Source organism: Homo sapiens, chromosome 8, assembly GCF_000001405.40.
Source record: "Homo sapiens chromosome 8, GRCh38.p14 Primary Assembly".
NCBI classification, from domain to species: domain Eukaryota; kingdom Metazoa; phylum Chordata; class Mammalia; order Primates; family Hominidae; genus Homo; species Homo sapiens.
The window spans coordinates 137,405,218-137,416,878 of NC_000008.11; the positions used below are offsets into that span (position 1 = coordinate 137,405,218).

At 40.7% G+C, this 11,661-nt stretch overlaps 1 long non-coding RNA gene across 1 annotated transcript, besides 1 other annotated feature; it reads right to left on the reverse strand.

Moving 5' to 3' along the window:
• Positions 1-883: 883 nt before the first annotated feature.
• Positions 884-8,371, reverse strand: LOC101927915 (uncharacterized). Its single transcript, NR_125428.1, has 3 exons — positions 8,119-8,371; positions 1,814-1,935; positions 884-1,498 (listed from the first exon to the last, which is right to left on the reverse strand). It is a non-coding gene; the product is annotated as an uncharacterized LOC101927915 (long non-coding RNA).
• Positions 9,665-10,295: an enhancer, noted in NCBI's record as "NANOG-H3K27ac hESC enhancer chr8:138427125-138427755 (GRCh37/hg19 assembly coordinates)". NCBI's record gives its function as "activates a minimal SCP1, AML or CMV promoter by ChIP-STARR-seq in naive H9 embryonic stem cells {active_cell/tissue: H9 hESC(naive)}" and the evidence as "EXISTENCE:reporter gene assay evidence [ECO:0000049][PMID:30033119]".

Genomic DNA, 11,661 nt, shown 5'->3' on the forward strand with positions numbered 1-11,661 from the left:
CCTATTCAATAAATGGTCATGGGATAACTGGCTAGCCATATGCAGAAGATTGAAACTGGACCCCTTCCTTATTCCATATACAAAAATCAACTGAAGATGGATAAAGACTTAAATGTAATGGCAGTAAAGTAGTTAAGGCTGAAAAATACACCTATCTCCTATTTCACTCTATGTTCCAAGATTAATTTAAATGGATTATAGGCCTATGCATAACAATTATAAAGTAAGATTTCTCAACCTCTGAAGGATTGGCATTTTTGGCCAGTTAGCACCTCTTCTTTTGTAACAACTAAAAATGTCTTCAGATTTTACCAAATGTTTTCTGGGAGGCAAAATAGGCTCCATTTGAGAATCATTTCTCTAGAAGAAATAATGGAAATATATCTTCACATCCCTATAGTAGGATATGCCACACACACACACGCACACAATAAAAACAATAAACCACTGATGAAATATATTTTATCAAATTTAAAATTTCTTCTCACCTAAGGACATCATTAAGAAAACACGTAGAACACAAACTAAGAAAAATATTTACAGCAAATAAATATAACAGCTTATATTCAGAATATAAAAAGAAGGATTAAAATCAATAATAAAGAGATGCTATTGCTTGGGCTTACCTTCACTCACTCTTTCGAACTTGACAAAAAGGGGAAAAAAGATCTATAAACAAAGTCTTTATACGTAGAGTGTCTGTCTTTTACTCCTGAAGAGCAAATAAAATTTACTCTACTTTCTTGGTAATATTCCTATAATTAGCATCATAATATTGAGTGTACCAATAATTACATCTTTCCATCCTTGCCAATGAAGGAGATCATCAGCAATCAAGGTCAAATTTGTACCCCCTGGCAACTACCTTCCTGACTGCCTCAGGTTACCAGACACTCCCATAAGCATGTTGTGGCCCTTTGTAAGGACATCTGGGATTTCCATTGAGCTTCCTGCTACTAGGTTATACACCTGATGATTCCATTGCTCCTATTAAGATGTAATTTAGTTTTCCATTTAGCGTCCTAACTCCTGAGACCATATGTTTTAGAAGGCAAAAAACACATCTTTCTGATTTTTGTATCCTCAGTTCTTGGCCCAGTGATGGCAGCACAACAGTACTCAGTAGGCGTGTACTGAATTAGTAAGTAAAGAATACTCTTTTAAAACTAGTTTGTCTGAATAGGTTCTCAAACTTCTGCTGTACCTTAATTTTACATAGGAGCAAAGCTAGAATCATAAATGGTAGGGATGAGCATTCCCACCTTCATTAACCTTATGATGACATGGAATTTCAATGAGAATGATTTATTTAGCCAGTGTCACATGCCTCATTCCCTTTTACCTCCTCTTCCCTCTGGTCCTTTTTGGTCCTTTCTCTGTGTTATCTTGTCAAGGATGGAGGAGTTTTCAGAGCCCCCCTTTGTTTTCTGACTTCATATGCAAAGCACTCCCCAGGGAGAAAACCATAAGGCAACACTAGTTCTCTGCAGCCTTGAATCTGTCAAGAGCAATGAAAATATCCAAGGAGATATCACTACTCAAAAGTCATCTAGGAGTGCATATTTGTCCAGCTTATTTCTATAATAAAAATTATTTTTCTTTAAATGTTGACCCTAAATCATGAGTTAGAACGTAAAATTGCATCCAGACCACCCCAATATCAGTGCACTCCAAGGGGCTTTTCAAAGGGACTCAGGTGTGTATTCCACATTTGAGAATGACTTTAGTTCTCAATGTACACACCTTTCTAACCACACCCCCTCAGCACCCTATCACAGTCAAGTCTTAACCCTCTTTAGTTCTAGGGTAGCACCTTCTCTGCTTAGGTCCTACTTCATGACGTTTGCATGACAGCTTGGCATAGTGGTAAAATGGAAATATGCAGAATTAGCAGGTAGAGATCTAGGCGCATGCCTCAGCTTCACCACCTGTTGGCTTAAGGAAATTGGGGATTAATTAAATTATTTGAGTTTCAGATTAATTAAAGAAAATGTGAAAATTTTAATATAAATGGGGCTGAGTGTGGTGACTCATGCCTGTAATCCCAGCACTTTGGGGGGCCCGAGACGGGTGGATCACCTGAAGTCAGGAGTTCTAGACCAGCCTGACCAACATGGTGAAACCCAGTCTCTACTAAAAATACAAAAATTAGCTGGGCGTGGTGGTTGGTGCCTATAATCTCATCTACTTGGGAGGCTGAGGCAGGAGAATCGCTTGAACCCGAGAGGAGGAGGTGGCAGTGAGCTGAGATTGTGCCATTGCATTCCAGCCTGGGCAACAAGAGTGAAACTCCATCTCACATGAAAAAAAAATTTTTTTTAAAGGGAAAGGAAAGATGGAAAGGAAAGGAAAGGAAAGGAAAGGAAAGGAAAGGAAAGGAAAGGAAAGGAAAGGAACAAAATATGAACATAAATGGGAGAATGTGATAGGGCCCCTTAAATTATAAAAGTATATATGTGTTGGTTTTGTGTTTTCCTTTGTATGTTTTTATTAGCTATGAACAGAATATGTATGGCTTTTTTTTTTTAAGTTCTGGGATACATGTGCTGAATGTGTAGGTTTTTTACATAAGTATACATGTGCTGTGGTGGTTTGCTGCACCTATCAACCTGTCATCTAGGTTTTAAGCCCTACATGCATTAGGTGTTTGTCCTAATGCCCTTTCTCCCCTTTCCCCTCACCCACTGACAGGCTCCAGTGTGTGATGTTCCTCTCCCTGTGTCTACATGTTCTCATTGTTCAACTCCCACTTACGAGTGAGAACATGCGGTGTTTGGTTTTCTGTTCCTGTGTTGGCTTGCTGAGGATGATGGTTTCCAGCTTCATCCATGTCCCTGCAAATGATCTGACTGCTGAAACATTTTTTTAATGGCATGTTCAGCAAAGGTTTCACTAAAGAATCAAGAAAATAATTGACAAAAATTCAGGCATTCAGGAGTGTTAGGAGGCAATCTAGACAGGACTTACACATGAAACAGCTGAAAAACAGACTGTGATCCCTCCATAACACATAATTTGAGGGCAAAAATGGGTTAACATTGAGGACAAGAAGTTCAGATTTATAGAATACCTGTCGGGAGAGATATAGAGTTACTTTGTATCCTGCCACTATCACTGGGGAGATATGTTGGACAGAGTTCTATCGTGCAAAGTTAAGTGAAAGAGGTTCTAAGGAGATTGTTCAGAGAGCATGATATACTGTTCCCCCTGTCCTTTCAAACTGAGAGATCAAAGTATATTCATAATGGACTTAGACCTAGGAAATGCAAGGGGCAGTGAGAAGATAGAAGTGACTATGGCCATACATAGCAGGTTGGAACTGCACTCCCATGAGTTAATGGACACAGATTCATGAGTCTTGTTAATTTCATGTGTGTAGGGGGTGGGGGCACATACACATGCATGAGATATACAACCTGGGTTGAAACCTACATCAGTTGCAACAATAATTGGGGCTTGAATTGGGAGTTTTAAGCAGCCAATAGCTTTTGCATCATTGAGGATAAAAAATCCCCAGCAATGTGAGTCTCCAAGGATACCACAAAAATGGTGCATTAGAAAAAAGTGTAAACTTTGACTGCTTCCCTAAGCCAGAGAGGATTTTATTAATCACCCCTTGTGGGCGTTAGAATTTAATTCCAGCTTCAATAGAATGAGATTTATCTCACTTTCTTACCCTTCCTCCCACCCTCAGCTTTTATTCTGTAGAAGATGCAGTTAAGAGTTTCCTCTCCTACTGCAGGCTGATTTCTTTCAGCTGACTATGGCTGGGGAAGAAAAGAATCGAGGATTGTGTATGAAGTTCAGAGTTTGAATGAGACCCAGGTCATGACATATTAGTAACAGAACTAAGACCATTCTTGTGATAAAAGGTCAGTATTTTATTTGAAGTGGCCATATGTGTGGTGGAAACCACCTTAGTTTTTATCCAATTGGATTAGGGAAAAGAAGCAAATAGAAAAGGTTGCAGGGGAAGTTGTGAGAAAGAATACAATTGCTTTATGGTTTTATTCTAAAATTGTGCTCTTTCAATCTAACATTGACATTATTATTTTTATCTTTACTATAATAATGATCATTATCTTCATCATTATTATTTTAGACGGTTGGGAAACTAAGCTAGCTTTCTAATGGCTCTTTTTAAAAAAAAAAAACTTACAAAAAAGCTTATTATGGGATTGGCTCATAATTAATCTTATGGGAAGGCCAAACTGAGGAATTATGTCTGACAGAAGGGAAGAAATGACCATGGTGGCCTTCTTAGACCCTGTGGGAAAGGCCTCTACCTATCCAGTGAAAGTGTCTACCTAGACCAAGAGGTATTTTAGTTTCCTGACTCAGGGCATGTTGAGTAAAGCTAATTTGCCAGTCCTGGGCAGGGGTAAATCCTTGAGCTTGATGTGTAGGGAAGGGAGGGGCCCTGAATAATCCTTGAGGAGTAGTAGAACAGCAGATAGAACACTGAGAAATTATTTCCTTGAGGATAGGTTTCCACGATGGAAAGGAAATGAGAGGTTCTAAGAGGCGGGCTAGTGGCTTGTACTATAGCATAGCCTGCCTTTGCTGGTGTGTGGCGATTAGGCCTGGTGGAACTGTCATCAATAAACCAAGTGTGATCAGGGTGAGAAACAGGGAAGAAGGAAATGTGGGGAAATGTGGTGAACGTCAGGTGGATCAGAGAGATGCAGTCATGAGGGTCAGGTGTGGTATCAGGAATAATGTGGGAGGCCAGATTGAAGTTGGCCAGGAACAATGGTAATTGTGGGAGACTCAACAAAGAGTGAGTACAGCTGAAGGAGCCAGGGAGCAGAAAGTATATGTGTCAGGTGTGAGGAAGAAAACAGATTTTGGAAATTAGGAGAGCTGTAGAGAGTGAGTTGTGCATAGTTTGTGATTTTAAGGGCCTCTAAAAGTATTAGGGCAGCAGCAGCCACTGCACGGAGATAAGATGGCCAGCCTAAAACAGTAAGGTCAAGTTGTTTGGACAAAAAGGCTACAGAATGTGATCCCAGTCCTTGCATAAGAATTCTGAATACACAGCCCTGCACTTCAGCTGTGTGTAATGAAAAGGGTTGGATGAGTCAGGGAGAGCTAGGGTGGGGTCAGTCTCTAAAGCTGTCTTCAAGGAATGGAAAGAGGAGTGGGGAAAGGATTTAGGATCTATGGGGTCAGCTAGGCTTCCTTTTGTGAGTTATATAATGGTTTTTTTAGGATGGCAAAACCAGGTATCCAAAGGCGAAAGTATCTAACTATGCCCAGGAAGGAAAGGAGTTGTTGTTTTGTAGAAGGGATTGGGGTTTGGGAGATTAGCTGGACATGATCAGCAGGGAGAGCACGTGTGTTTTTATGAGAATTATGCCAAGATAGGTAACAGATGAGGAAGAAACGTGGGCTTGACTGAAGTAATGGGGACTGCCTGTGAAGCTTTGCGGCAGTACAGCCTAGGTAATTTGCTGAGCTTGATGGGTGTCAGGGTCAGTCCAGGTGAAAGCAAAGAGAGGCTGGGATGAAGGGTGCAAAGGAATATAAAGAAAGCATCTTTGAGATCTAGAACAGAATAATGGATTTTGGAGGGAGGTATTGAGGATAGGAGAGTATATGGGTTTGGCACCATGGGGTGGATAAGCAAAACAATTTGGTTGATAAGGCATAGATCCTGAACTAACTTGTAAGGCTTGTCTGGTTTTAGGACAGGTAAAATGGGGGAATTGTAAGGAGAGTTTATAGGCTTTAAAAGGCCATGCTGTAGCAGGCGAGTGATAACAGGCTTTAATCCTTTGAAAGCATGCTGTGGGATGGGATATTGGCATTGAGCGGGGTAAGGGTGATTAGGTTTTAATGAGATGGTAAGCGGTGCATGATCAGTCACCTAGGAGGGAGTAGAGGTATCTTATACTTGTGGGTTAAGGTGGGGGGATAAAAGAGGAGGACGCAAAGGAGGCTTTGGATTGGGAAGAAGGGTGGCAATGAGATGTAGCTGTAATCCAGGAATAGTCAGGGAAGCAGATAATCTAGTTAAAGTGTCTTGGCCTAATAAGGGAACTGGGCAGGTGGGATAACTAAAAAGGAGTGCTTAAAAGAGTATTGTCTAAGTTGGCACCAGAGTTGGGGAGTTTTAAGAGGTTTAGAAGCCTGGCTGTCAATACCTACAACAGTTATGGAGGCAAGGGAAACAGCCCTTGAAAACAAGGTAATGTGGAGTGGGTGGCCTCCATATTGATTAAGAAGGGGAAGGACTTACCCTCCACTGTGAGAGTTACCTAAAACTCGGCATCTGTGATGGTCTACAGGGCTTCCAAGGCGATCGGGCAGCATCAGTCTTCAGCTGCTAAGCTGAGAAGATCTGGGAAGGAGTCAGTCAGAGAGCCTTGGGCCAGAGTTCCAGGGGCTCTGGGAGTGGCTGCCAGGTGAGTTGAACAGTCCGATTTCCAGTGGGGTCTTGCACAGATGGGACACAGCTTAGGAGGAATCCTGGGCTGCGGGCATTCCTTGGCCTGGTGGCCAGATTTCTGGCACTTGTAGCAAGCTCCTGGGGGAGGCGGTTCTGGAGGAATGCCTGGCCACTGCGGTTTAGGTGTTTGGAAGTTCTTGTGTGCTGGAGATGTGGCTGGGGTTTGTCTCACAGTGGAGGCAAGGAATTGCAACTCAGAAATATGTTGCTACTTGGCTGCCTCTACTCTATTATTGTACACCCTGAAGGCAAGGTTAATTAAGTCCTGTTGTGGGGTTTGAGGGCCGGAATTTAATTTTTGGAGTTTTATTTAATGTCGGGAGCAGATTGGGTGATAAAATGTATATTGAGAATAAGATGGCCTTTTGACCTTTTAGGGTCTAGGGCTGTAAAGTGTCTCAGGGTTGCTGCCAAATGAGCCATGAACTGGGCTGGATTTTTATATTTGATGAAAAAGAGCCTAAATGCTATCTGATTTGGGAAAAAGAAAAAGGAGCATTAACCTTGATTATACCTTTAGTAGCTCCAGCCACCTTTTTCAGAGGAAATTGCTGGGCAGGTGGGGGAGGGCTAGTCACAGAACGAAACTGTAAGCGAGACCAGGTGTGAGGAGGGGAGGTGATAAAAGGATTATAGGTGGAGGAGCGAAGGCTGAGGAAGAATTGGGACTTAGCTCAGCTTGGTGAGGAGGGGAGAGGTCAGCTAGGTATGCAGAAAAGGAAGATCTGGAAGACTCAGTGACACTTGGGGTTGGGACTGAGGGGACAGGCGGGAGGGAAAGAAGGAAGATTTGGGACAAGTTGCATTGGGAAGAGAGACTAGGAAGGGCCCGACATCTAAAAGAATGCCTGGACATCAGGCACCTCAGACCATTTGCCCATTTTATGACAAAGAATTATTTAGATCTTGTAGGATGGAAAAATTGAAAGTGCCATTTTTTTTGGCTATTTGGAACTACTGTCAAGTTTGTATTGAGGTCAAGTGGGATTGCAGAAGAAAATAAGACACTTAGATTTTAGGTCAGGCGAGAGTTGAAGAGGTTTTAAGTTCTTAAGAACACAGGCTAAGGGAGAAGCAGAAGGAATGGAAGGTGGAAGCTTGCCCATAGTGAAGGAGGCAAACCTAGAGAAAAGACAGTAGAGACACGGAGAAGGCGTGGGGGGTTCTTGCCTTCCAGAAAAGCAGAGAAGGGGTCAGGGCATGGAAATAAGGGGTTGGGGCACAGAGATAAGATGTCAGGGTGTGGAAATAATGGATGGGGCACAGAGATAAGAGGTTGGGGCATGGAAATAAGGGATTGGGGCATAGAGATAAGAGGTCAGGGTTCCTGCCCCTCCCTCAGAAAAGCAGGACTCGCCACTAAGGGTAAAGGACCAAGGCAGGTGTCCCTGCATGGTCTGACACCTCTGAAACCTGGGTGAATAATAATCAGAGAGGTGTCCCTGCAATGATTAAACACCAAGGGAAGGCTGCCTTCCCTACTCCGTGACCAGCGCCGGAATTTTGGGTCCACAGATAAAACGTGTCTCCTTTGTCTCTACCAGAAAATGAAAGGAATTGAAATTAAGAGAAGGGAGAGATTGAAGTGTGGCGCCAAGATTGAAAGGAGAAAGAGGTTGCGGGATAGTGAGAGAGGTTGGAGAAGAGAGTAAAAAGAGGCTGCTTACCAGATTTAAAATTGGTGAGATGTTCCTTCGGCTGGTTGGTCTGAGGACCAGAGGTTGTAGGTGGATCTTTCTCACGGAGCAAAGAGCAGGAGGACAGGGGATTGATCTCCCAAGGGAGGTCCCCCAGTCTGAATCACAGCACCAAATTTCATGCGTGTCCCCGTGAAGAGACCACCAAACAGGCTTTGTGTGAGCAATAAAGCTGTTTATTTCACCTGGGTGCAGGTGGGCTGAGTCTGAAAAGAGAATCAGCGAAGGGAGATGGGGTGGGGCCGTTTTATAGGATCTGGGTAGGTAAAGGAAAAAGGGGGGTTGCTCTCTGGCTGGCAGGAGTGGGGGGGCGGTCACAAGGTGCTCAGTAGGGGAGATTTTGAGCCAGGATGAGCCAGGAGCAGGAATTTCACAAGATAATGCCATCAGTTAAGGCAGGAACAGACCATTTTCATTTCTTTTGTGGTGGAATGTCATCAGTTAAGGCAGGAACCGGCCATCTGGATGTGTACGTGCAGGTCACAGGGGATATGATGGCTTAGCTTGGGCTCAGAGGCCTGACTATAGTAATCTATAATTTTAATTGAATATCATTAGGGAAACACAAAATGGACAAAATGAGAATTCCCTAATAATATGTTTAAAATGTTATAGGTAAAATCCATTATAATCAACTTTAAAGCATTAAAATAAAAATTCACAAGAACTTTCACCACAAAAGCAAGGAAGGCCACAATATAGGTACATAGATACATGCATATATATAATACAAGTAATTATTAAAATAACACAAATATTCCAATTAAATAATTGGTAATGGAGCTGCAATATAAACAAAATTAAAATGCAAATGGTCAATTATTGTATGGAATATGACTGAGGTCATATAAATAAGAGAAATACTAAATGATAGTGACATATCAGTATGCTCCTCTACATTTAGAAAATATTTAAATAAATAAAATGTGTATTGAGAGCTAGGCAACCAGCAATCATATAAACAGGTACTGACATTTATATGAAGGGATGGGTTACCCCTCTACACCTGTGGGTGTTTCTCAGTAGGTGGAATGAGAGACTTGGAAAAGAAAGACACACAGAGACAAAGTATAGAGAAAGAAAAAGGGGCCCAGGGGGCCGGCGTTCAGCTTACGGAGGATCCACATGGGCACCAGCCTCTGAGTTCCCTTAGTATTTATTGATCATTATCGGGCATTTCCCAGAGAGGGGGATGTGGCAGGACAATAGGATAATAGTGGAGAGGTCAGCAGGTAAACACGTGAACAAATGTCTCAGCATCATAAACAAGGTAAAGAAAAAAGTGCTGTGCTTTTGATTAGCATATATATAAACATCTCAATGCCTTAAAGAGCAGTATTGCTGACAGCATGTCCCACCTCCAGCCCTAAGGCCGTTTTCCCCTATCTCAGTAGTTGGAATATACAATCGGGCTTTACACTGAGACATTCCATTGCCCAGGGAGGAGCAGGAGACAGAAGCCTTCCTCTTATCTCAACTGCAAAGAGGGATTCCTTCCTCTTTTACTAATCCTCCTCAGCACAGACCCTTTACTGGTGTCGGGCTGGGGGATGGTCAGGTCTTTCCCTTCCCACGAGGCCATATTTCAGGCTATCACATGTGGAGAAACCTTGGACAATACCTGGCTTTCCTAGGCAGAGGTCCCTGTGGCCTTCTGCAGTGTTTTGTGTCTCTGGGTACTTGAGATTAGGGAGTGATGAAGACTCTTAACAAGCAGGCTGCCTTCAAGCCTTTGTTTAACAAAGCACACCCTGCACAGCCCTTAATCCATTTAACCCTGAGTTGACACAGCACATGTCTTAGGGAGCACAGGGTTGTGGGTAGGGTTACAGATTAACAGCATCTCAAGGCAGAAGAATTTTTCTTAGTACAGAACAAAATGGAGTCTCTTATGTCTACTTCTTTCTACACAGACACAGTAACAATCTGATCTCTCTTTTTCCCACATTTATGTAAGTTGGATTTGAAATATACCAACATTTGTGCATTTATACATTCATTCCATAAATATTTATTGTGTTTGTGCATGGATGAGGTACTATTACAGGTACTGTAAGTGTAAATATAAATTTTTTAGGCAGCTGTGTTCTGTGGAAGCTTTCATTCTGATTATACAGTCTATAACTGTGCTGTTCAGTGAGATAGCCACTAGCCACGTATGGCTATTGAGAACTTGAAATCCAGCAAGTCAACTGAGCTATGATTTAAGTGTAAAACACTTATTCAGTTTTGAGGGACAAATACCATAAAACCTAGAAAATGTAATATCTTTTTAATTATTCTTAAATAATTATACATTGAAATATTTTAATAAATTGGGTTAAATAAATTATTACTGTTAATTTTACTTATTTCTTCACTTGATCTTAGCCAAAAGGCCAAGAAGTGATTAACTTCATTTATTTCTTTTTACTCTTTTTAGTGTGTCCACTAGAAAACTTAAACTTATATATGCGGCTTGCATTATATTTTTATTAGCATAAATATAGAGCAGATTGGAAGTTTCAAGATATTAATTTCTTTTACTGTATTCCAATGAAGTACTCAGAGATGCATTTAGAAATCAATTTTAAAGAAAATTCATTTTCATATTGTTTATGGGACAAATAATTATAAACAATGTAAATACTTAACAATTGGAACTGTTTTCTTTTATATGGTTTAAATTGGGAATTTGGTAAACTATGTTATAATTAAATACATGAAAAAACATTCAAATTAATGTTAGAAAAGCAAAGTGAGATAAAATTTATATTGTTTTTCTAACATTTGTCATATGTACAAATATACATATAACATATTGAATATATATTTTGACTATACATATAGGCATACACACATACTTATATAACATATTTGTTGAGAGTTTACTAAAAGAACAGACTTTATCACTGCAATGTAGCACCTCTACTAAGGACAATCTGTTTTGTTCATCTCTTTCTGAAATGCCTAACATTTTTGACAGCGTAAAGAATAAATAAGTGCCTGTTGAATGGCACTCATTTGGATGAGATACCATCCAGTGGTATCTATTTTTTAATATTTGTCAATGTAAGAATTAAAGAAGGAAGGAACACAAAAGGTGGCATACCAGTTAATATGGGTTTATTTTAGAGAAACAAACCTGAGAAGAGCCTTCTGGCTGAGTTAGGTCAGAGGCACACTGTCTAACAGACAAAGAGTTTTTAAGTGTTTTGGCAAGCCACCTTTTATGTTTCTTTCCTCTTTCTTTAATTCTTACAGTCTATACTCTCTGTACTTTTAGTACATATTTTATGTCCAATAAACAAGAATGAACTGAAAAAAGTAGTAAACATAAATGGTTTAGTTTCACAATTACTTTACCAAAATACAAAGTGGAGGCTTTAGAATGTAAATAATATACTAAAGGTTTTAATCTTATCTCTGGCTGAACTGAGACTAATCTGTCTCTTGATCTAGTCATCTTTTTATTATAGTGCTATTATCATTGATGTGAACTGATTGTATGTTTAGAATAAATCAAAGGGGAAA